The following is a 25,829-nucleotide window of genomic DNA, read 5'->3' as shown; positions in this document are numbered from 1 at the left end:
ATATAGATCTCATTGACAGGAGAACAAGTAGAGGGAGTAATGGAATTGAGCAGGGGTATCAATGCAAGGCCTCAAAAGTCTAGAAAAGACCAGTCACAGACCCAGTGCAAAGTCCTTGGGGACCAGGCCAGACTAACCTCCTCATAGTAGACACCAGACCTCTGGGACCCAGGGGACATACTCAGATCCAAGGCCTGCCACCCTGTTGCTGGAGAATCTTCAGCTTCCTCTGCACCCAGAACCTTCTGAAGCATGAGGGAGGAAGTGAAATAATGAAAGGCTGAGTTGTTCTTGTACTTTTCCCTGAGTTAATTAAAAGACTGAGTTAACCTAAAAGACAATGGTGAAAGCCTATAGAGTGCTTACTCCACCCCACACATGCTACCACATTTTTATTCCTGTTTTACAGATGAGGAAACCGAGGCATAAAGTGGTCAAATGATTGTCCTAAGGTCACACAGCCAGACTGAGTAAAGCCAAGATTTGAACCCAGACAGTGTGGCTAAAGAGATTGCCTGGATTGCATGAATTGGCAAGATTAAGCTTTTCCTTCTTGATAGCCAGCACCAGGAGGCTCCTGAGGAAGTTCAGATCACTTACAGGAAACAAAGATGCCACAAACGCAAATGTTTGCACAATCTGAGTATGTTTCACTTGGACCCCAGGAAACAGAGGCTGAGAGAGTTACACATGATTATACTTTTAGGAATTAGGCCTGTACCCTCCCTGCAGTGCTAAAAGGAGGCCCCCATGGGGCTTGCTTTATAATAAATCCTTCTTCTTAAGCAATGTCACCTCCTCTACTTTCTGCACATCATGAATAATAATGGTTAATATGTTTAGCATTTACATTGTTCTGTGCCCTCACATTATTTCTCATAATCTTACCAAAACTGTTCTGAGGAGGGAACTGCCGTTGTTCCTACGCTGCAGATGAAGAAACAAAAGGCTCAGAAATGGGAAGTGACTTTGAAATCTTGCACAGCCAAGAAGAGGAAGATCCAATGTTTGCTCCAAATTCCACCCGATTCTGGAGTGCGTCCTATGACCTCAGTGCCCACCTCCCTCCCGGGCACCTAGGATGGAGCCTATGGCAAGGTTTTAGCACAGTGACTACAGGAATCACAGCCCAGACACAAAAGCAGGAAACCCTTTGACCGGGCTCCTTCCTATTGCACCAACAGCCTTGTGTTGCTGCAATGAAAACACTTCCCCAAGCAGCTGTGGCCAAGAGACGCAGAAACTGCCTTGTCCACGGGCCCCGCCTCAGACTCCAACACTCACAAGAGAGCAGAGGAGCCCCAAGTCTTGGGGACCACAGAAGATGCCATGTGCTCCACGATGTCGGCCCCCACCTGCCTGGCCCACTTGCCTCCCTGCTTCCTGCTGCTGGCACTGGTCCTTGTCCCCTCAGGTAAGTGGGGTCTAGGATAGAACAGGGTCCACCCCCGGCTGGTCAGTCCCTAGAGGGGCACTAAGTGCTCTGCCATGCCTGAAGAAGCTTGACCCCATGAAGATAGAGTAAAGAGGGGTCCACTGAAAATTTGCCTGACTCCGGCAGAGGGCACCCCCAGTGTCCCAAGAAGCAGCGTAGTGAAGTGATAAGCTCCCAGGCTCTGCGCTCACACCCACTGGCTTCCAGCTTGATTGCTCCTATGCCCACGTCAGATGCTGCAGCTCTTTTAGCCCCAGGAGCCTCTTCTACAAAACAGGGACGCTCATGGGACCTTTCTCTAGGGCTACTGTGAGTATTAAATAGAAAAGTGGTGAGGCTCAGCCCTGGGCCGGCTGCATAGTTTATGAGACCCACTGCAAAATGAAAACTGCGGTCTTTTGTTCAAAAAGTATTGAGCAACACAGCAGAGCAGTAAACCAAGCATGGGCTCCTTCTAAGCACAGGGCCCTGTGCGACTACATAGATGGCACAGCCATGAACCAGCCCTGGCTCAGCTTAAGACGCAGTAGGCTCAAACCTCACCACTAACCAGTTTAAGTAATTTCTTTCTGAGCCTCAGTTTTTCCAACTGTAAAATGGAGCTAAAAATAGGACCCACCTTGGGACTTTCTTAGGAGAATTTAACAAGATAATACCCATAAGTGCCTGGCATAACAAAGATTTGATAACTCTTGGCGATTATTATTATCATTCCCATGTTTCCTCTAACTCAGGGGCAGGCCAGGTTAGCTCCAGAGTCTTGAGACCCCTGAATATATAGCTCAGCCTCTGAGTCCAGAACTCTCTGATCTACCAGGCAGGGATACTTGGCTCTCAGTGGGCTCATTCCATCTCCTGCCCATCTGGGCCTCTGCTCCAGGCTCTACTGAGATCTAGATTCTGTCCATGACATCTTTGGTCCTCCGGGGTGGCCATCCCCAGGAGAGATCCTGGCAGAACCCAGGTGTGGGGTCGGACCTAGGTGCTCCCTTACTCATTGGCCGTATGACTCAAGACACCACTTCAATTCTCTAAGCTGATTTCCTCAATTCTAAGATGTGAATCATAATTGCTAGGTCTCATTCCACAGGTACTTTTGAGTGTCTGCTATGTTTTAGGCACTAGACTAGGAAATCAGAAATCTAAACTACTCAGAATAAAAAATATTCCCAATGATTGTTGCAATAGAATAGATGGAAAATAAGAGAAGTTGCTTAAACCAGTCAGTTGGAATGTTTGAGTCCAGCTGCATCTCAAGCTGAGTCAGGGCTGGTTCTTGGGTGTGCCCTCTATATAGTGGCACAGAGCCTCCTGCTTAGAAGGGCCCCATGCTTGGTTTAATGTTCTGCTGTGTTGCTCAATAGTTTTTGAACAAGGGACCTGCATTCCCGTTTTGCACTTGGCCTCACAAATTACGTAGCTGGCCCAGGATTGAGCCTCACCACTTCTCTATTTAATACTCACAGCAGCCCCGAGAAAAATATGAGTGCCCCTATTTTGCAGTAGAGGAGACTGGGGCTAACACATTTTCTATAAGGCTTTTAAAGGGAGCCCCATACAGGAACCATGAAAGGCAGAGGATGCAGATGGAAAATAGATGAGAAGGTCCAGCTCCACTGACAAGGCAGAGGCAAACCTCCTAGGACACCTCCTAAAGCCCAAGTGACAACACAGAAGGGGACTCAGAAGGGGAGAGGGAGGGAAGGGGTGTGGGCACCAGGACTGAGTCCAGGCTCCAGCTTCTTCCCTGGTGTTCACTTCCCCAGACTCACCCCTAGCTGAGATAAGACTTTCTGAGTGCTTCCTTCTTCCTCTCCTCCATTGCTTCTTTCTCCTCACACACGCAGGCTTCATCTTTACAAATAATTTATTTTTAACAGCTCTATTGAAGTGTAAGTGACATATATTAAACCGTACATATGTAAAGTACACAATTTGATAAGTTTTTTTTGTGAGTGCTGGGTGTATTTCACACTTGTGAAATCATCACCAAAATCAGCATCATGAACATATCCAGCGCCCAAAAGTTTCCTTGTGATTCGTCCTTGCCACTCCTCCTTGTCTCCAAAACAACCACGGATCTGTATTCTGTCACTATAGTTTGCATTTTCTAGAATTGTATATAATAAGGATCACACAGTTATACTCCTTTTTGGCTGGCTTCTTTTACTCCGCATAATTATTTTGAGATTCATTCATGTTGTTGCATATGTCAATAGTTCATTTCTTCTCATGTCTATCCATTGTATGGATAAACCCTTTCCCATTCACCTGTAGACAGACATTTGGGTTGTTTGCAGTTTAGGGCTATTATAAATAAAGCATCTATGAATATTCATGTACAAGTCTTTGTGTGGATATATACTTTCATTTCTCTTAGGGAAATATCTGAGAATAAAATGGATCATATGGTTGCCATACGTTTAACTTTTTCAGACACTGCCAAAGTGTTTTTCAAAGGAGTTGTACCATTTTACATTCTCATCAGCAATGTAGGAGGATGGCAGTTCCTACACCTCCTCACCAACACTTATTATGGTCAATCTTTTTAATTTTAGTCATTCTAATGGGTACATAGTAATATCTTACTGTGATTTTTTTTTTTTGAGACAGGGTCTCACTCTGTTGCCCAGGCTGGAGTGCAATGGCTTGATCTCAGCTCACTGCAACCTCCATCTCCCTGGCTCAAGCGATCCTCCCACCTTAGCCTACCAAATAACTGTGACTACAAGCGCACATCACTACACCCAGCTAATTTTTGTGGTTGTCTGGTTGGTTGGTTAGTTTTTTTGTTTTGGTAGAGACAAAATTTCACCATATTGCCCAGGCTGGTCTTGAACTCCTGGGATCCAGTGATCCGCCTGCCTCAGCCTCCCGAAGTCCTAGGATTACCAACCTCTCACTGTGATTTTAACTCCCTAATATGTAATGATGCTGAACATTTTTTACATCATGCATCCTTTTTGGTGAAGTGTCTATTCGACTCTCATTTTTTAAGTGTGTTTCTTATTATTGAGTTTTGAGAGTTCGTTATATATTATGGATACAAATATTTTGCCAGATATATGCTTTGCAAAGATTTTTCTCCTACTCTGTGACTTGTCTTTTTATTCTTTTACAAGTGTTTTCCGAACAGCAGGAGTTCTTAATTTTTATGAAGTCCAATTCATCAATTTGTCTTTAATGGATCATGATTTTGGTGTTACATCTAAGAAATCTTTGCCTAACCCAAAGTTACAAAGTTTTTTTCCATGTTTGCAGCTAGAAGTTGTATCGTTTAACATTTTATGTTTAGTTATATGATCTATTTTGAGTTAATTTTTATATAGTTTGAGATATAAACCAAAGTTCATTTGTTTGCACATGTATTTCCAATGGTTCTTGCACCATTGTTGAAAAAACTCCCCATTCTCCATTGAATTGTCTTTGCACCTTTGTCAAATATCAAATAATTATAGTTAGGAGCCATGGCATGCACCTGTACTCCTAGCTACTCAGGAGGATTGCTTGAGACTAGCAGTTTGAGGCTGCAGTGTGCTATGACGATCACACCCAAAATAGCACTGCACTCCAGCCTGGAAAACATAGCGAGACCTCATCTCTTTTTAAAAAATCAGTTGCCTCTATTTGCATGGACTATTTCTAGACTCTCTATTCAGTTCCACTGATATGTTTATCTATCTTTGTGCAATACCACATTGTCTTGATTACTGTAACATTATCTAAGTCTTGAAAGCAGGTGGTATTAGTTTTCTAACTTTATTCTTTTTCAAATGGTTTTGGCTATTCTATAAATTTTAGATTTAGTTTATCAATGCTAAAGTGAAGCCTGCTAGGATTTGAATGGGAATGGCATTGAGTTTATATATCAACTTGAGAAGAATTGACATCTAAGCAATATTGAATCTTCCAACATATGAACAGTGTGTACCTCTCTATTTATTTAGGCTTGATTTTTTTTATCTTAGCAATGGCTTATACATTTTCAGTTTGCAGTTCCTTTACATTTTTGGCTAAATATTTTCTATTTTTATAACATTGATGACTGGAAATTTTAAAATTCCAATTTCAAGTGGTTTATTGCTAGTGTATAGTAATACATATAATTTTGTACATTGATCTTTTATCGTCCACCTTGCTAAGCTCATTTATTAGGTCTAGTAGCCTTTTTAAGAAATTTTCATTTAAATTTTAATTATGTCATATGCACATAAAGACAGTTTTCTTTTTTCTTTCAAATCTGGATGTCTTTTATTTCCTACTACCTTTTTCACAGTTAGTACCTATCCTACAAAATTGAATAGAAATAGTAAAAACAGGCATCTTTGTCTAGTTCCTGATCTGCAGGGAAAACATTGATTTTTGCACCACTAAGCTTGATAGAGTTGTTGTAGGGTTTTCACAGGTGCCCCTTATCAACTTGAAAAACCTTCCTTGTCTTCCCAGTTTGCTGAGAGTTATTATTAGGAATGCATGTTCAAGTTTGAAAACTGCTTTTTCTGCATTCTGTTGAGATGATTATATGAGTGCATGTATATGCGTGTGTGTGTGTGTTAGTTTAGTAATATGGTAAATTACATTGATTGATTTTTGAATGTTAAACCAACTTTATATTCCAGGGATAAGCTCAATTTGATTATAATGTATTATACTTTCTAAATATTGCTGATTGCTGAATTCGGTTTACTAAAATTTTGTGTAAAATTTTTTATCTATGTTCATGAGAGATATTGATTTTCCTTTCTCGAAAGGAAAAGGCTTCGGTTTCAAGATAACACTGGGACTCATAGAATAATTAGAAAAGTATGCTCCTTTTTTCAATTTTCTAAAAGTATTTGTATAAAATTGGTATTATCTCTTTCTTAAAGATATGGAAAATTTGGCTGGGCATGGTGACTCATGCCTGCAATCCCAGCAGTTTTGGAGGCTGAGGCAGGCGAATCACTTGAGGCCAGGAGTTCAAGACCAGCCTGGCTAACATGGCGAAACCCTGCCTCTACCAAAAATATAAAAATTAGCCGGGCATGGTGGTGCATGCCTGTAATCTCAGCTACTCAGGAGGCTGAGGCAGGAGAATCGCTTGAACCTGGGAGGCAGAGGTTGGAGTGAGCTGAGATCACGCCACCATATTCCAGCCTGGGTGACAGAGTGAGGCCCTGTCTCAAAAAAAAAAAAAAGAAAAGAAAAGAAAAGAAAAAGATATGGAAAATTCACAAATGAAACTTTCTTGGATTGGACCTTTATTTCTGGGAAGATTTTTAATAACAGATTGAACTTTTTAATAGATAATAGGGCTAACCAGGTTGTCTTTTTCTTCTTGAGAAAGCTTTGGCAGTGTATCTTTTTCAAGGAATTTGTTCATGTTACCTAATTTGTCAAATATGTATGACTTGAAGTTTTCCATAATATTCTTTTATTATTCTATTAATAAGAGTAAAATCTGTAGTAGTATCACCAATCTTATTCCTTATTTTAATAATTTAGGTTCTTTCTGTGTGTGTCCCCTCTGTTCAATCTGACTAGAGATTTATCAGTTTTAGTGATCTTCTCAAAGATTTTCTTCTTCTCATTGATTTTTTCTGTGTGTGTGTGTGTGTGTGGTGTGTGTGTGTGTGTGTGTGTTCTACTGTATTAAGTTTCATTTCCAGCTTGATGATTTCCTTTCTTTCACTACTTTGAGTTTAGTTTATTGGCCTTTTTTTCTAGTTTCTTAAGGTGGAAAGTGGGTAATTTATTTGAGTCCTTTCTTCTTTCCAAATATAGGCATTTAATACTACAAACTTCCCCTTGCTTTAACAGAATCCCGCAAATTTTTATATTATGTTTTCATTTTCCTTCAGTTCAAAATATTTTCCAATTTTTCTTTTTTAATCGATACATAACATTTGTACATATTTATGGGGTTCATGTAATACTTTGTTCCATGCATAGGATGTGTAATAAATGAGTCAAAGTATTTAGGATATCCATCACCTCATGTATTTTTCATTTATCTGTGTTAGGAACATTTTAAGTCCTCTCTTCAAGCTATTTTGAAATCTACAATACATTGTTGTTAACTACAGTTACCATACTCTGATATCAAATGGCAGGATCTTATTCCTTCTATCTAACTGTATGTTTGTACCCATTAACAAATCTCTCTCATGCCCCTCTCCCTACACTCACTTTTCCCCACGTCTGGTATCATTCTACCCTCTGCTTTCATGAGATCAATTTTTTTAGCTTCCACGTATGAGTGAAAACATGTGATGTTTGTCTTTCTGTGCCTGGCTTATTTCACTTAACATAATGAACTCCATCTTCATTCATGTTGCTACGAATGACAGAATTTCATTTGTTTTTATAGCCAAATAGTATTCCATACTGGCCATCCAGTAGTGGTATTGCTGGGTGATATGGCATTTCTATTTTTAGTTTGTTGAGAAGTCTCCATACTGTTTTTCATAGTGGCTGTACTAATTTACATTCCCACCAACCATGTATAAAGTTTCCTTTTCTTTGCAACCTTACCAGCATATATTTGTGGTGGTTTGTTTATTTATTTTGTTTTTTTTTTTTATTGTTGCCTTTTTAACAGTCGTTCCAACTGGGGTAAGATGATATCTCATTGTGGTTTTGATTTGCATTTCCCCGATGATTAGTAATGTTGAGCATTTTTTCATGTGCCTGTTGGCCATTTGTATGTCTTCTTTTGAGAGATGTTGATTCATGTCCTTTGCCCACTTTTTAATGAGATTTTTTTTAACTGTTGAGTTGTTTGAGTTTCCTGTATATTTTGGATATTAGATTAGTCCCCTGTCAGGTGAGTACTTTGCAAATATTTTCTCTCATTCAAGAGTTTGTCTCTTCACTGTGTTGATAGTTGCTTTTGTTATGAAGAAGCTTTTTAGTTTAATATAGTCCCATTTGTCTATTTTTGTCTTAGTTGCCTGACCCTTTTGAGGTCTTAGTCATAAAATCTTTACCTATACCAGTGTCCTGGAGTCCCTTCCCTGTTTTCTCCTAGTAGTTTTTATAGTTTTAGGTCCTACAGTTAGATCTTTAATTCATCTTTAGTTGATTTTGGTATATGGTGAGAAATAGCAGTCTACCTTTATTCTTCTGCATATGGATATCCAGTTTTTCCAGCACCATTTATTGAATGTGTATTCTTGATACCTTTGCCAAAAATCAATTGGCTGTAAATACATGGATTTATTTCTGTGTTTTCTATTCTGTGCCATTGGTCTATTATACCATTGGTCTATGTATTCTATGCCCTTGGTCTATTATACCAATACACATCCCAATCAAGAAGAAATTTACAAAATCCCAGAAAAAGAACACAAAATATCGATACTAAGGAAGATCAGTAAGATACAAGATAATTCTGAAAAACAATACAAAGAAATCAGAAAACACTCCAAGACATTGCTCTAGGCAAAGGTTTTGTGGCTAAGACTTCGAAAGACAGGCAACAAAGGCAAAAAAAAGACAAATGGGACTATATTAAACTAAAAAGCTTCTGCACTGCAGAAAAATAATCAAAAGAGTGAAGAGACAACCTCCTGAATGAGAGATAATATTCACAAAGTACCCATTTGACAAGGGACTAATATCTGGAATATACAAGGAACTCAAACAATTCAACAGTTAAAAAAGCAAACAAACAAATAAATAATCTAATTAAAAATGAGCAAAGGAAAGGAATGAATAAACATTTCCCAAAGAAGACATACAAATGGCCTAGAGGTATATGAAAAAATATGCTCAACATCACTCATCAGGGAAATGCAAATCAAAACCATAATGAGATATCGTCTTATCCCAGTTAGAATGGCTATTGTTAAAAAGACCCAAAAAAAGGCCAGGTGCTGTGGCTCGTGCCTGTAATCCCAGCACTATGGGAGGCTGAGGTGGGCAGATCACCTGAGGTCAGGGGTTCGAGACCAGCCTGACCAACATGGTGAAATTCTGTCCCTACTAAAAATACAAACATTAGCCAAGTGTAGTGTCATGTGCCTGTAATCCCAGCTACTCAGGAGCCTGAGGCAGGAGAATCACTTGACCCCAGGAGGCGGAGGTTGCAGTGAGCTGAGATGGTGCCACTGCACTCGAGCCTGGGTGACAGAGCAAGACTCCCTCTCAAAAAAAAAAAAAAAATGATGAGGATGAGGAGAAAAGGGAACTCTTATACACTATTGGTGGGAATGTAAATTAGTACAGCCACTATGGAAAACAGTATGGAGATTTCTCAAAAATCTAAAAATAGAACTGCCATATGATCCAGCAATCCTAGAACAGGTATTTATCTACAGGAAAAGAAATCAATATATCAAAGGAGTGCATGCATTTCTACGTTTATTGCAGCAATATTCACAATTGCAAATGTATGGAATCAATCTAAGCGTCAATCAATGGATGAATTGATAAAAAAAATACATATATATAGTGTCCCCAAGCACACCCACAATGGAATACTATTCAACCGTGAAAAAAAAATAATGAAATCATGTAGTCATTCACAGCAACACGGATGGAACTGGAGATTATTATGTTAAGTGAAGTAAGCTGTACTCAGGAGGCTGAGGTGGGAGAACTGCTTGAACCTGGGAGGCGGAGGTTGCAGTGAGCCGAGATAGTGCCATTGCACTCCAAAAAGAAGGAAAGAAGGAAGGGAGGGAGGGAGGGAGGGAAGGAGAAAGAGAGAGAGGAAGGAAGGAAGGAAGGAAGAAAGGAAGAAAGAAAGGAAGGAAGGAGGGAAGGAAGGAAGGAGTGAGCCAGACACAGAAAGACAACTATGCAGGTGCTAAAAATGATCTCACGGAAGTAGAAACTATAATGATAGATACCAAAGACTAGGAAAGGTGATGGGTCTCAGGGAGAGGGGTTAAGAGTGAGGTTGGTGAATGGGTACAAACACACAGTTAGATAAAAGGAACAAATTTTAATGTTTGATAGCAGAGTAGGGTGACTATAATTCACAACAATGTATTGTTTTTCAGAACAGCTAGGAAAGAGGACCTGCAATGTACCCAACACATAGAAATAATAAATACTCAGGTGATGGATACCAGAAAAAAAAGAAACTTACAGTAGTAAACTCACATTTCTCCACTCCCAGTCTTTATTCTATCGATGTCATAACTTCTACATATACATGTGTTAGAAGCCTCACAATAGAATGTTATTTTTTTTTAAAATCAGTTTGGGGCCTTGCTTTTAAGATTTGTTGGGTGGACCAGAACACTTCTTTCTGGGCTGCATCTCTCTTCTGTGGACTTTCCCCAGTGCCCTGACAATCATGGGTTTTACCAGTTTGGCTGGTGGGAACAGGCACCATTCTTAGCCCTGTGCTGAGTGATGGGCACAGTCCTGTACGTGTGTGTGAGGAAACTCCCTGAGGCCAGGGAAAAAAACAGGAAGGATCAGTGATAACAGATCTGACTAGCTCAAATAATGTTTGAGAGTGGATGTCGCTGAATTTCTTGGAACTAAGGACATCAAGGACAGAAGCAATCCCTAGGATTCAACATGCGGTTATCACTTGGTCACAATTGTGAGAAAGTTATTCTTGGTGGTTAACAGCACATGCCTAGCTGAAGATAGGTAGAAATAGAATTTAGAATTCCATAAGTCTTTCCTAGACCCTCTTAGAAGGAAATGTTTGCTTCACCTTCTTACTCTCCTTGCCTCATTCACAACTGAGAAACACCATGATATACTGCAAACAAATGTGTGGAGTGAGACTGAGCTATTCACAAAGGCTGATGGGAATACAGACAAAAAGGAAACTCGGGGTACAAAGCTGCTGACCTTGAGTTGAGCAGAATCTTAAGTCACCTGATCTGAGTTCAAATCCTGGACACGATATCTACTGAATGCATGGTTCACCTCATGTTTCTTTACCACTGTGAGCATTCGTTTTCTTTCTCATCTCGAAAATGGAGATTATAGGCTGGGCATGGTGGCTCACACCTGTAATCCCAGCACTTTGGGAAGCCAAGGGGAAGGAATCACTTGAGCACAGGAGTTTGAGACCAGCCTGGGCACCATAGTGAGACCCCATCACTACAAAAAAAATTAAAAAATAAATAAATAATAAATGGGGAAGTTTTTAAAATTGAGATTATAACAGCATCTACCTCACAGAATTCTTAGAAGGAATACATGTGATGATGTTTGTTACCCAGAATATCCATGGGAGGCCTCAGCCCTCTTTCTCTGTATCCACTTTGAGGATAAACTCAACAGTTCAACCTATCTTCAAAATAGCCTCACTTCATAACACATTAACACGAACTGCAGTCTGCTGATAATTCACATGAGGCAGAAAGGGTATTTACACTGAACCCCGCAACACACAAACCTATGTCTCTGAAGGGTGGCATTTGAAGATTAATAGCCAGAGCTCCAGAAACAGGTTGAGAGGGCTTGAATCAAGCCTGTCACCCTCTTACTGAGTGATGTCTGAGTGTGCCAGAGCTTCCATAACAAAGTAGCATGGCCTGGGCGGCTTGAACAATAGAAATGTAATTTCTCACAATTCTGGAGGCTGGAAACTGAGATCAAGATGTCTGCAGGGCTGGTTTGTCTGAGGCGCCTCTCCTCAGCCTATAGACGGCCACCTTCTCCCTGTATCTTCACATGGTCTTCCCCCTGCATGCGTATGTTTAAATTTCCTCTCCTTATAAGGACACCAGTTGGGTGAGATTAAGGCCCAACCCCAATGACCTCATTTTAACTGAATTACCTCCTTAAAGACCCTATCTCCAAATACATCACATTCTGAGGAACTGGAGGTTAGGACATCAACATGTGCATTCGGGAGACACAATCCTAGCCGATGATCCTGGGACAGCTGCCTAACCTTTCCGGACCCTCAGTTTCCTCTGTCAAAAAATGGGAATGATGCCATTTACCTTACAGAAGCATTGTGAAGAATAAGTGACATCATGCACGCAGGGCCCAGCACACGGTGAGCACTTGAGTGTTATTTATTGTTTGTAGGTTTGCCATTGCATAGCTCAGTTCTCTCTCTGCAGCCAGCCATCTCATCCCCTCTTTCCCTTCCCTGTCTAATGACACTCCTGTCTTATCCTGGGCCATTGTTCTTGGCCAGATAATGGTTTGATTGTTTTAAGCTTGTCATTTAGGGCTCCAAGTCCTTCCTGCCCAGTGCAAGGTCTTTCTTCCTCTTTTGTAGATGCCTCTGGGCAGAGCAGCAGGAATGACTGGCAGGTGCTACAGCCCGAGGGCCCCATGCTGGTGGCAGAAGGTGAGACACTTCTACTGAGGTGTATGGTGGTCGGCTCCTGCACTGATGGTATGATAAAATGGGTGAAGGTGAGCACTCAGGACCAACAGGAAATTTATAACTTTAAACGTGGCTCCTTCCCTGGGGTAATGCCCATGATCCAACGGACATCAGAACCACTGAATTGTGATTATTCCATCTATATCCACAATGTCACCAGGGAGCACACTGGAACCTACCACTGTGTGAGGTTTGATGGTTTGAGTGAACACTCAGAAATGAAATCGGATGAAGGCACCTCAGTGCTTGTGAAGGGTAAGGATCAGGCCCTGCAGACCACACATTTGCTCCAGTCTGTTTCCCTGCACAGTCACCTTTATCCACTGTATCATGCTGTATCACACAAAATTTCAGTGGCATACAACAATACATATTTGTATCTCTACATGCACATTTACATGTGGCTGGGTGGTTCCACTCCTCATGTCTCATGCCAGAGCCCAGGCTGGAGAGGTAGCAACTATGTGGGGCATGTTTTCTCATAAAGATGGCAGAAGCAGAAGCCCAGTCCCAACTCTTCAAGTACACCTCAAGCATCTACTCACATTATGTCTGCTAACAGCCCACTGGCTAAAGCAAGTCACATGGCTCAGCTCCAAGTCAAGGGACAAGGAAGAATAGTCTTCCACCATGCACCAAAGGTAAGAGTGTGGATGTACCCTATTACAAGCACAGAGTCAAAACCTGAGGCTGATCATGTCATCTACCACACTCCCCAAGTACTCAATCATGGCATCTGTAAGTCCACCTATGGTGACCTGAATACCCAAATCCTGGGCCTGTCATTGAATAGTAGTTCCTTCTTAAGTCAGTTACCCTGGCTCTACATGCCTCAAGTGCTTTGCTTGAAAAACAGGCAAAACAATTTGTACTTCAAGGGTCATTCGGGTGATTAAATAGAATGGATGCTTGTGGAAACACCCCATAAACTGGTGACATGGAGAGTATCTGTACGTGGGAGTTCATTTTAACTTGATGCCAGATTCAGGAAGGCTTCACTGGCTTCTTCCGAGCTATGATGGTGCCTCCTCTGTAGTCCTGCCATCTTCTGGGTTTCCGCCTCTGGGCAATTTTTTGACCATCTCCACTGGAAGACAGAGAATGGCTTCAGGGCCGGGCACTTGTGTCTTCCTGAGTTTCATGTTCCCCAATCCTACCATTGGTATGTAGTAGGTACTCAGAGCTTTTTTACTGAATGAGTCAACTGGTGAGTAATAAAGAAAGCAGGAAGGAGTGGCTGAGTGAAGAAATCTGGAAAGAAGGAAGGGAGGGAAAACACCAGGTAGGAAATGAGTGAACGATGGAAGAGGAGAGGGAATTCAACAAGGACCTCCTCTTTGGCTTCAGGAGCTGGGGACCCTGAACCAGACCTGTGGATCATCCAGCCCCAGGAATTGGTGTTGGGGACCACTGGAGACACTGTCTTTCTGAACTGCACAGTGCTTGGAGACGGTCCCCCTGGACCCATCAGGTGGTTCCAGGGAGCTGGTCTGAGCCGGGAGGCCATTTACAACTTTGGAGGCATCTCCCACCCCAAGGAGACAGCGGTGCAGGCCTCCAACAATGACTTCAGCATTCTTCTGCAAAACGTCTCCAGTGAGGATGCAGGCACCTATTACTGTGTAAAGTTTCAGAGGAAACCCAACAGGCAATACCTGTCTGGACAGGGCACCAGCCTGAAAGTGAAAGGTGAGACAATTGGTTTTGGACTTGTCGGGAGAGCGGAGCAGGTATTCAACAGGAATTTTTCTACATGTCCCGAACAAGCCAGTTCTTCACAGCCTCCATGTCTTTACATAAGTTTTTCCCTCTACCTGGAATGCTTTCTCCTTTTCTCTGAAAACTCCTACTCATCCTTCAAGGCCCAGCACAAATGGCCCTTCCTCTGTAAAACCTTCTCCTCCTCTCAAGCAGAGTTAATTTCTCCCCATTCTGGTTTCCACAGAACTCTGTATAGATCATTAATAATTCAACAAACATTGGCCAGGCACCGTAGTTCACTCTTGTAATCCCAGCACTTTGGGAGGCCAAGGCAGGTGGATCACCTGAGTCAGGAGTTCAAGACCAGCCTGACCAACACGGTGAAACCCCGTCTGTAATAAAAATACAAAATTAGTCAGGCGTGGTGGTGCATGCCTGTAATCCCAGATACTTGGAAGGCTGAGGCAGGAGAGTCTCTTGAACCTGGGAGGCGGAGGTTGCAGTGAGCCAAGATCGCACCCTTGTACTCCAGCCTGGGCAACAAGAGCAAAACTCCGTCTCAAAAAATAATAGTAACAATAATAATTCAACAAACATCTACTACATGACTGTTGAGTGTCCTGCACTATGCTAAGTACTGCAGACACTGCAATGAATTAGACAGGTCCATACCCTAAACGTGCTCCAGTAGAAAGTCTAACTTTGTCCTTCATAGCTGCAGGGTTTGACTTCTAGCCCATACCCACATAGAAACTGGCAGACTCATCCCAGAGATCCCAGCTCCTGGGACTTAGGAAGTGGTGGGAGATAAAGATAAAGGGAAGTATGACAAAGCCTCTCTCCCTTGCAGCAAAATCTACCTCTTCCAAAGAGGCAGAATTCACCAGTGAACCTGCAACTGAGATGTCTCCAACAGGTGAGCGTACCCACCTCAGTGGAGTCAATGAGTCCCCCACAGGCAAGGGGGCCATGAATGGCTTGGTCATGGGAAGGGAGCAGTCCCAGACTCCTGGGGCTAACCTGCCACCAAGAATGCTCCCAGGACTTCATCTCAACTGCAGAACTAGGACCCCAGAGAACCATGTTATAACAGCTCAGCTATAACGAACTTTCTCATAGCCAGGGCCATGTAACTGTTTAGTGGGAAATGTTGTTTGAGAGGTGGTGAGCTCCCTGTGATTCTGAGTGTAGGGACACACTGTGAGGCTATGCACAGCGACACTGGAGAACATGGCTTTGTAGCTAAGCCTCCTGGATGGAGCCCCTTCCTAGTGTAATGGGCAGGTTCTCGCCCCTTGAGTCTGGTATCTGACTCTATGAACTAGCGGGGAGGGGACAAGAATCAGAGACCCTACTTCATGGGGTTGTGTGTGCACTCAAGGAGATCACACATGCCAGGTGTCCAGAACTGTGCCTAGCACATCTCATGTTAACATTCAAGGACTCTCAGTATCTGGTGGGAGCTTGTGATAGATGTGGTCAGATTTGCCTTCCTGATGCTCGGCCCTGCTCCTGCCATTCATGGGGGCCAGACGGCCTGGGTCCCGTGACTTCTTTAACACATGTGGCCCTGAGAAAATCATTTCCCCACTCTGGGTCTGTCTCCTTATCTATAAAAATTGGATCACTATCCTACACTGTAGGATTACCTTGAGGATTGCATTAGGCAATTAGGAATAGCAGAGGTTAGGGATGTGACTGAGATGATTACAGATGCAGGCAGAATATTGGGCAACCGTTCTCTGGGCCCAGGGCAGAGGGAAGGGTGGTCTTTGATCTCCTCTTTCAATGTAGAAAGGATACAGCTCCAGAGGTTATACAGCAGCAGGATGTGACCTTGCCCATGGGCAGCAATGAGGCGTGGGCTGTGGGGCCCTCACCACGGGTCCCGCCTGAGCTCTCTCCTGTGCCTCCCAGGCCTCCTGGTTGTGTTCGCACCTGTGGTCCTGGGGCTGAAGGCAATTACCTTGGCTGCACTCCTACTGGCCCTGGCTACCTCTCGGAGGAGCCCTGGGCAAGAAGATGTCAAGACCACAGGCCCAGCAGGAGCCATGAACACCTTAGCATGGAGCAAGGGTCAAGAGTGAGGGGTCAGCCCCAGAGTGAGGACCCTCTGAGTTGGAGAGGAGCCAGGGCTCCTCAACCATTTCCCTACCTCCAGTCCCAGCCTCTAGGTGCCCCCAGGCCTCATGACAAACTCCTAGATCCCTACATCTGGTTTTGGTCCACCTAGTGAAATTCCCTTCTTTGCACCGGGCTTCCCTCTAAAATGTCTCCCTTTCTCTTTTTGGCCTGTTCAAGACCTCCTTGCTTTTCAGTCCCTGGCTCAGTCTCTCCTCAACACCCTTGCCCCTGCTGCAGCCCTTTCTGGTGCGCCCTGCCCCTTTCCCCACCTCGCTACATCCTTCTTGGCCTCCAACATCCAACTCAGAGTCTTCTTCCCAGGAGATGTCTGTAAGAATCTCTGAACTCAACCAGCCAGACCATCTGTGCCCCTCCATCTACACCTTTCTCCCCACTCCTTCCTGCCTTCCTTCCATCCCCCTCATGGCTGGCTTGGGCAGGTATAATATTAGAATGCAGGTTCAGCAACTATAACAAAGCTCTTAAATAACAGTGGCTTAAACCAGTGGAAATCAACCAGAAAGTTGACCATCAGCAGGCCAAGCAATACAGAGACTCCCTGGTATTGAGACCCAGGATTCACTGATCTCATTGCTACCAGGTCCACCTTCTAGGCAGCCAGACTGGAAAAGAGGGCAGGAAAGGGGAGCAGGACCCTCCCCTTTAAGTGCACAGTCAGGAACTTGGCCACCTCACTTATCTCTACTTGGCTGGAATGTGGTCACATGGTCACACCTAGCTGCAAGAAACACTGGGAGATGTAGTCTTTATTTCTGGCAGCAATGCGCCCAGCTGCAAGTTTTCACTAGAGAAACCAGATGGCAGATATCAGGGGATAACCAGTTATCTCCACCACAGCAGCATACAGACAGCCTCTCACCTGCCCTGTGGGACACCTGAGTTCAATGCCCAGCTAGCTAGCCAGCACTTCTTCCCACTATCACCTCCCCTGGGGCAGCATGATGTGGGGCAGTAGTTCCCAAGATGAGTGATTTTGCCCCCACTGGACTTTTGGCAATGTCTAGAGATGTTTTTGGTTGGCACAACCTGGGGGGGTGCTACCACCATCTAGTGGACTGAGAAGCCCTGACATGGGGAAGAGTGTGCATGCCCAGGAGTCAGACACACCTGCCTTTAACCCTGAGGCCTCTGCCTCCTCCCTGTGCACCCTCAGTGACTAATCAGAGTCCCTTCCCATCACGGAACATCCAGGATACTAATGTGGACTTCTCTGCATTGTGTAAGAACCAATTCAAGACCAGGCACGGTGGCTTATGCATGTAATCCCAGCACTTTGGGAGGCCGAGGTGGGTGGATCACCTGAGTTCAGGAGTTTGAGACCAGCCTGGCTAACATGGTGAAACCTCGTCTCTACTAAAAATACAAAAAATTAGCCAGGCGTGGTGGTGTGCACCTGTAATCCCAGCTACTTGGGAGGATGGGGCAGGAGAACCGCTTGAACTGGGAGGCAGAGGCTGCAGTGAGCTGAGATCGCGCCATTGCACTCCAGCCTGGGCAACAAGAGCAAAACTCCGTCTCAAAAAAAAAAAAAGAACCAATTCAATTCTGCATTTACTGAGGGCCTACTATGTGCTGTGTGCACTGCATGCACTCGATACATGTAAATTCCCTGTTCTCTTTCCAGGCAAACATTTATTAGCACTCACTATAGCGGCGAGTAGATGAGTCTAGATGTTTTTCATTACCACAAACAGAAAAACAGCTTGAACTAAGCCAGCGACAACAGTAATTTAGTCTGAGAATGGAATAAATTATTGAATTACCAGACATTAGAGAGGGTAGGGAAGGTAGGCTGAATACTAACCCCCACCCCAAAGATATCCATGTCCTAATCTCTGGAACCTTTGACTGTTACCTTGTATGGCAAAAGTAAAAATAAAAAGAAAAAAGAAAACAAGACTATACAGGTGTGATTAAATTAAGAATCTTGAGATGGGGGTGGGGGTTTACCCTGGATTATCTAAGTGAGCCCTAAAAGAGATGTTAAGTATCCTTACAAGAGAGACACGGATGGATCTTCGATGTAGAAGAGAAAGCAATGTGACCACAGAGGCAGAGTTTGGAGCTATGTGACCACAGGTTAAGGAATGCCAGCAGCCACCAGAAGCTGGAAGAATCAAGGAAGAAATTCTCCCCCTGGAGCCTCCGGAGGAAGTGTGGCCCTGCCAATACCTTGATTTCAGACTTCGGGACTTCAGAAATATGAGAAAATAAATTTCTGTTGTTTTAAATTATCAGGTTTGCAGTGATCTGTTACAGCGGCCACGGGAAGCTGAAACAGCAGGAAAGCATGGAGGTGGTTCTCCACTAACTGGAGGTGGGTCCCACCTGCCCTTGCAAGCCCCCTAGCCCTGTAGGGCCCTGCATGAGCTGGTCCCTGCCACCCCCTCTGACCTCATCTCCCCAGATCCTGTAAGCTGACTCTTCTCCAGCACCCCTCTGGACTTTGACCACACAAAGCTCCCTGATTCATTCAAGTCTCTGCTTAACTCTTACCTTTAAAGGCCTCTCTGGACCACTCTATCCAAAAAAGCACCTCCATCACTCTCATTCCTGCTTGCCACTTAAGTTTTCTTCATAGTACTTACTGCTACCTGAAAACATGTGTGTGGTGTGTGTGTGTGAGCGCACATGCATGTGTGTGTGCACCTATGTGGGTGTGTGTGCATGCATGTGTGCATCTGTGTGCCTGCGTGTGCACGTGTGTGTGCGTGTGTGTGCGTGTGTGCATGTGTGCGTGTCTGTGTGTGCGTGTGTGTTTGTGTATCTGCTTCCTTGATGGTTGTTAGTTGTCCCCACTAGAATTTGAGCTCCCTGGGGACAGGAACCTAATGGTCCACTATTGTAGCCACCCTCATTGAATCCTGAAACGTGGTTGAAAGCTGACTCTGTGCCAGGCCCTAATCAGTGTGCTGAGAAAGAAACAGAAGTCTGCTCTCTCAGAGCTTACCTCCTCCCGAGAGAAGACAGACAATGAGCAAGTAACCCTAGGTGAGTAACAGGCCCCACTATACTGAGTGCTGAGGGCCTTCACAACGCAGGAGGAGGGGGAAGGAAGTTGCCAGAGCAAAGGGGAAGTGACACTATTTTATGCAGGGTGGACAGAAGAGGCCTCCTGATAAAGTGACATTTGAGCAGACACCTGAAGGAGGTGAGGAAGAGAGCCCTGCAGATACCCAGGGGAAGAGCTGAAAAGTACAAGGAACAGCGAATGCAAAGGTCCTGAGGCAGGAGCGTGCTTGACTTGCACAAGAACAGCAAACACCAAGCAGAATGCCTGGCCTGTATTAGACCCCGTAAACGCCTGAACTACATACATGGCAGAGATGAAGCACACAGTCTCGGAAATCTGGCTGTGCAGGTTCAAATTCCAGTTCTCCTACTTATCTCTTGGGTGAGTTTGTTTCTCTCAGTTTCCTTGTCTATAAACTGGTAATAACATGCGTGTCTCCCTTATTAGGTAGTTTTGAGGCTAAAATGCATTGGTATATGTGCAGCACCTGGCACATAAGAAGCCCTAAATAATTATTATAGTTACATTATTTCATTAGGCTATTGTTATGCAATTCTAACTATAAACTGTAGTCACTATCCTCCCCATGACAAGGAGCATGGCAGCCTACAGTGCCTGGGCCCCTTATCGGGCAACTTCAGAAGTCAGATGACCCTACTCACCACAGACTCAGTTGTAAAATCCTATAGAAAGTTGGCCCTGCTTGGATCCAGGGACTTATAGGGACATGGCAGGGGAGCAAGGTGGAGGCAAGTCCACTAAAGAAGACAAATATAACAAAAGATGAACAATTTAAGGCCCTTCGTGGGGACTCTGGGAAACCTGCTGACCACAGATAGAAAGGGTGGGGAATGGATGGGAGACAGAACTCCTCAGCCCAGCCCTTCTGCTGCTTTGGGGCCCCAGGCATTGCACAGGTGAGATGACCCACCAAAGACAGAGCAGGGGGCATGCCACAGCCCCCACTAAGGGCCAACAGGCCACTATTACATGTCCTGCCTGGGCCTTCAGATCTGATGCCTTGATGTCAGTGACTACACTCCAAGATCCCTGAATCAGGGCATCCGTTTCTCTCCCTCCCCTTCTGTTTTCTCCTTCCTGCAGCTCTTCTTTAGCTCTTTCCTTCCCTTCCCATGGTTCTTGTCCCATGCTCTTCCTGCCCCAAGGAACCCCCATCAAGGCTGCCAAAGTCCCAGACTTTGTGACTGCTCCCTGTGAGAGATAGGTCTATTCACGCCACTCTCCTCGGGCTCGAGGACCCTCCATTTCCCCCTGCAGGTTAGACCTAGAGCTGGAGGAAGAAAAGGAGCAAACACCATTTGACAGGGGCTTCCTATAACCTGACAACCCAAGGATGGCAGCCCTGCTGCATGCAGTATTGGGGTGGCGGTATCGGGGTGCAGTGAGAGGAGGTGCCAGCCAGGTCAAGAATAGTCCGTCCTCTCCACAAGACACACCGCCCAGAGAGCAGCTACATGTCATTGGCCTGAGAAAGTGGGGAATGCCAGGCCTAGTCAAGCACATTTCTAAATTCTATCTAAATGGCACTGATTAATGGCACTTTGCTACACAGATCATTCTCAACCTTGCTTTCTGACTCAACATTTGAGTTATATCCAGGTTGGTTACCTGTAACTCTAATTCATTCATCTTCAGAACTGTATAGTATTCCATTGTATTAACATATTACATTTGTGATTTCTGTTGATGGATGGAGACCTTAGTTGTTCCAGTTTCTCGCTATCCCAAACAGAGACAGTTTCACTGTGTCTCCTGATGCATGCACAAGTGCACACACCCACAAGTAGAACTGGAGGGTTATACAGGTTCTGTGCTTCTTCAACTCCACTAGATTGGCCAAATCATGCCCCAATGCCATTAAGCCAACATATACTGCTGTTAGACACAGGAAAATTCCTGTTGTTTCAGGCTTATGCCAATATTTCCTATGGTCACATTACAGGGAAGTGCGGGAATCTTCAGTTCTTGTCTGCTTGGAAGAAAGATTTCAGCCAAGAGACACACAGCAAAGGTGAAGTAGCAGAGTTTATTGAAGAAAGATAAAGTACGTTCCTAGAAAGGAGTGGGCTGACCTGGCTGGAAAACAGCATCAGGCAAAAAACAGCAGTAGCAGTGTTTATTTAAAGAGACAGTACACTCTGAAAGAACGAGCCAGCAGCAGCTGGTGCTGGGGGACCCTCTTTATGAGAATCTTACATGATTATTCGTGCAGGGGCATGAGGGAGCGTCACTTACAATCATGTTTTAGGTGGTCCCCCTGGCTGTGAATGTTGTGTGTTTGTACGCGCTAGTAAACACATTGCCTGTCTCATTAGCATTTAAAATCTCCACTCAGGGGTGTGTTTTGTTGTTATTATTATTATTTTTTGAGACAGAGTCTCGCTCTGTCACCTAGGCTGGAGTGCAGTGGTGTGATCTCAGTTCACTGCAATCTCTGCCTTCCGGGTTCCAGCGATTCTCCTGCCTCAGCTTCCTGAGTAGCTGGGACTACAGGCACGCACCACCATGCCTGGCTAATTTTTGTATTTTTTTAGTAGAGACGGGGTTTCACCATATTGGCCAGGCTGATCTCAAATTCCTGACTTCGTCATCCGCCCACCTCGGCCACTCAAAGTGCTGGGATTACAGGCATGAGCCACTGTGCCCGGCTTGTTATTATAATGAGCAAAAGGCTACTGTAGGGCGAGTTACTGGAGGAGTGCACATGCTCGTCAGTGGGAAAGTCCCTACCATGGTTATCTCTGGGTAAGGCCTCATAAGTCCCCTTTAGGGCCAGAGGAGCCCAACCACAAGGCCAGAAGTTGCCAGTGTAGCCATTGTCTCTTTGCTGGCCGCCAGTGGGTGGCGCTGACTGTCAGTGAATGGAGTCTCCAGGACTTCTTTTCCCAAACGCTCCCTTGCCTGCTTATTTCTGGCTATCTGCCTACTCTAACAGTCAGACTTGTAAATGTTTTACCAGTTGGATAAGGCAAAAGGGAATCTCATTGCAGTTTTCATTGGTTCTCACTGCTGACTAATGCAACCAAGCATTAGTCACCGGCTGGCAGTACTGTTATTTTATTATTATTGTCATTAGTTGAAGATGTTGTGAAAAGAGAGACAAATAGTCCCAACTTTGCTGAGGCAGTGGTAGTGTTGTTATTATTATTATTATTTTTTTTTGAGACAGAGTCTCGCTCTGTCACCTTTTGTGAAGAAGAGTGGTAGAAGAAGGCAGTGCTGAGGCTGAGGTAGTAGAGAAGGGTGAGTGGTACCGGCAGCTTCCATGTATAGGGGCCTCTGGAAGGTCTGAATGTCAGCTGAGAAATCAATCATTTGCTCCACCTAGCAGCTCCCCTGGCCCCCTAAGCTATAGAGGGTTTAGCGCTTAGGGGACTGGAGTAGGGGGTCAGAGGAGACACCAGTCCTGGGTACACACAGCTCCTGCCCAAAGTGAAGTCACCACCAGTGAGGACACGGCAGAGGGGGTGCCAAAGGAAGGCTGGGGTGGGGCGGGAGGTGGTGGAAGATAGGATTAAAGGGAGGGGCTGGGGTGAGACTGGAGTGGGAAGGAAGATGGAGATGAGCCCGGAGGGGGCTGGGGGTGAAATGGAGTGAAAGTGGGCTTTGGAGGGTGGGGTGCATTTAGTACTGAGGGTGGAGTTAGAAGGGAAAGTGGGGCGGGGTGGGTCAGGTGCTGGTGGCGGATCTGTGAGGTAGAGGTGAGGCTGGAGGTGGTCGTGGTGGTAGAATTTGGGGATGGGGCTTGGGTGGGATGGGGCTGGAGGTTGGGGGCTGGTGTGGTTGGACATAGGAGAGTGGAGCTAAAGCTGAGCCTGCAGCACCTCCTTCTCTAGTTTTGTTAAGGACACTTAGATAAGTGTTATGTAAATGTAGTTTCAAGTTCATGCCCTCACATCCCCTGCCTTAAACTCCAGTTGGGTCATCTGGAGCTGCTTCCAGAAACCAGCCATAGGAAGTGACCAGCACAGTCCTGCAGTCTAAGGAGAGACAGTGTGGTGTAGCGGTTAGAAGCAGACTCAGGAGCTGTGCCATACCTGGATTCAAAACTCTTTAGAAGTCTAGGTTTCCCCATCTGCAAAATGGAAATGATAACAATAGAACTCACTTCATAGGGTGCATGAGTTAGTGTATCTAAGGCTCTTTGCAGAGTGTCTAGGGGCATAGTAAGTGCTCAGTAAACACTAGCTGCCAGGTAGTGTTATGGGAAAGGATGCCCTCAAGTCCTCTAGAAGAGGGATCAGGGACCCTCTGGCCGAACAAAGAGCTTTCCCTGATGGCACAAAAATGAAGAGGGGGGGTGACAATGAGTTTCAATGACTCCAATACCAGCCAGGGAACTGGACCTTGAGGAGCTGATCGCCTGCAGATCTTTAAGCTGGGGTTAGTCGTTGTCAGTTTCCAGGGTAGAAAGACCTTACTGGTTGCCAATCGTGAGGTCCAGAGTGAGCCTCTAGCTTCTTGGACTTCCTGGAAAGTTGGGGTGCATTTCGAGTTGACACAATGATGAAAGGGGTAAGTCCTAGGGACCGGGGCTGGTCCTGGGTGGCCTTGCAATAGAAAGGAGAGTCTCACACCACAAAGAAAGGACCCTCCTCCCATGCCTCCTGCCAGGGCCTATTGTGGCTGCAACCATGCTCCTAATAACCTAACCCAAGCCCTAACTCGTTTGTCATATAAACTTAAAGGATTTCTTGCACAGTGTTAATAAGACACCGAATTTTCCAGGAAAGCAACTATTGTGTCAATTGAGGGAAGACTGGACTTTGTGCTGTTCATAACCTGATTAAGAGGGGTTTTGACTAAGCCTGGGCACCTTCTCAAGGTCTCCTTGAGAAAGGGACACCTGAACTGAGAGCTGAAGAATGAGCAGGGGCCGACAGAGGAAGAGGAAGGGAAGAGTGTCCCACGGTGGTGTTGGAAATTAAAGCTCGAAGTCTCAAGGAAAACCAGCACTGAAATAAAAGATTTTTCAGCAAAGCCAATTTACTTCTGCAGAAGGGTGCCACTCACACATCTGGTCTTCAGGAAAGCACACCGAACAAAAGAGAGAAGGGGTTTTTATCCCTAATGCGGTTAGTCGCTGCTTCTGTGTCCTGTTCCCATTGGCTGGGGCTGGACTGCGCAATCTAAGCTAATCCCGATTGGCTAGTTCAAATGGAGCAGAAATGTGGGCTACAGTGGTAGGGCAAGCGGTTTCGGCAGGAAGAAGAGTTTCCGCGGGAATGGCAATTGTAGCGAGGGTATCCAAGGGAACAGATGTGAGTTATAGATTAGGACCCGCGGGAAGGTTGTTTACCGTAACTAGGGGTAAGGAGGTACAAAGAACAAGGAAGTTAGGCTTTGAAAATAGAGAACAAAGAACAAGTAAGCTGAACAAGTAAGTTCCTCTTTGGAGAGGCAAGAGGGCAAAGAAGCTGAGGACCCAGAAGACAGGATTGTGCCTAAGAAAGTGGCCTTGGAGCAGAGGCCCAAAGAAAGCGGGGAGAGCGCCTTGCCCATCGGTAAGGGAAAGGTGCTCCAGGCACAGAAGCAGCTAATGCAACGGCCCTGAGGCAAATGCAAGATAACTGGCAAGTTCCAGGAACAGCAAGGAGGGCAAGGCGCCTGGAGCAGAGGAAGCTAGCGGATCCCTTGATGAGAGGGAGGAACTGGCCCATCTCTCATGGGTCCTGCAGGCAGGCCATGAGACTGTCTTTTATGCGGGGCGAGATAACGAGGCATGGACGTGTTGTGAGCGGAGGCCTAGCCTGTTCAAGGTCTGAATTTTTACCCCTAGAATGTAAGAAGCATGGGAGCAGGGACTTTGTTTTGCTCCCTGCCATATCCACAGCCCTAGAAAAACGTCGGGCCATTGATAGCTCTCAGTAAATGCTTGACAAGTAAGTGAATGAACGAATGCACAATTAATGAAATGAGGGCTGCGTCAATGAATAACTGGGAATCTGACTCCTGCAGGGAGCCTTCAGCCCACAGGTGTATGTAAGACCCGCCCCGCCTCTCATCCTTCGGGCTCCCACCCCCGCCGTTAGGCTGCGGTTCGCGCCGCGGTCGCCAGAGGGCGCGGAGCGGCGGGGCTTCCCGCACGGAGGGCTTTGCGTGAGGCACCGCGTGGGGCGGGGCTGCGGGCGGGCTCCCAGCTGCTGGGCCCTCATCGGCTGGGCCTCGTCGACCGGCAAGCGGAACGCGGCAGCGGGGCTGGGCCTGTGCGGCGG

At 45.3% G+C, this 25,829-nt stretch overlaps 1 protein-coding gene across 11 annotated transcripts, besides 2 other annotated features; it reads left to right on the top strand.

The window, feature by feature from the left end:
* The first annotated feature begins 1,268 nt into the window (after window positions 1-1,268).
* Window positions 1,269-22,004, top strand: SIRPB2 (signal regulatory protein beta 2). 11 transcript variants are annotated; one of them, XR_007067453.1, is made up of 8 exons: window positions 1,269-1,414; window positions 12,624-12,695; window positions 14,082-14,423; window positions 15,286-15,351; window positions 18,819-18,897; window positions 19,429-19,571; window positions 19,677-19,974; window positions 21,557-22,004. XR_007067453.1 is itself a non-coding variant. In XM_047440129.1 (5 exons), exons 1-5 carry the CDS (start codon window positions 1,330-1,332, stop codon window positions 18,827-18,829), a joined length of 870 nt encoding a protein of 289 aa, XP_047296085.1. In that variant the 5' UTR covers window positions 1,269-1,329; the 3' UTR covers window positions 18,830-19,244. The 11 variants fall into 11 exon arrangements, 8 of the variants coding, with proteins under 8 accessions (XP_047296085.1, NP_001128308.1, NP_001116434.1 ...); XR_007067452.1 differs by having other exon boundaries at window positions 12,624-12,989; window positions 19,478-19,571; window positions 21,557-22,002; XR_007067451.1 differs by having other exon boundaries at window positions 12,624-12,989; window positions 21,557-22,002.
* Window positions 13,291-14,490: an enhancer, noted in NCBI's record as "BRD4-independent group 4 enhancer chr20:1458844-1460043 (GRCh37/hg19 assembly coordinates)". NCBI's record gives its function as "activates an origin of replication core promoter dependent on BRD2, P300/CBP, MED14 and CDK7 cofactors, and independent of BRD4, by STARR-seq in HCT116 cells {active_cell/tissue: HCT116}" and the evidence as "EXISTENCE:reporter gene assay evidence [ECO:0000049][PMID:35650434]".
* Window positions 25,546-25,815: a silencer, noted in NCBI's record as "silent region_12593". NCBI's record gives its function as "represses an Ori minimal core promoter by ATAC-STARR-seq in GM12878 lymphoblastoid cells {active_cell/tissue: GM12878}" and the evidence as "EXISTENCE:reporter gene assay evidence [ECO:0000049][PMID:35858748]".

The sequence above is a fragment of the Homo sapiens genome, chromosome 20, assembly GCF_000001405.40.
Source record: "Homo sapiens chromosome 20, GRCh38.p14 Primary Assembly".
Classification (NCBI taxonomy): Eukaryota; Metazoa; Chordata; class Mammalia; order Primates; family Hominidae; genus Homo; species Homo sapiens.
The sequence above is the reverse complement of the archived record's forward strand: the minus strand, read 5'-3'. Positions and strand labels throughout refer to the sequence as shown.

What these genes read in the sequence shown, in the direction of transcription:
- SIRPB2 (XM_047440127.1), top strand. Translation starts at nt 1,330, where the DNA reads ATGTGCTCCACGATGTCGGCCCCCACCTGCCTGGCCCACTTGCCTCCC. An exon ending in ACTGGTCCTTGTCCCCTCAG is followed by an intron (nt 1,415 to 12,623) that starts GTAAGTGGGGTC and finishes CCTCTTTTGTAG; the next exon opens with ATGCCTCTGGGCAGAGCAGC. An exon ending in CACCTCAGTGCTTGTGAAGG is followed by an intron (nt 12,990 to 14,081) that starts GTAAGGATCAGG and finishes CTTTGGCTTCAG; the next exon opens with GAGCTGGGGACCCTGAACCA.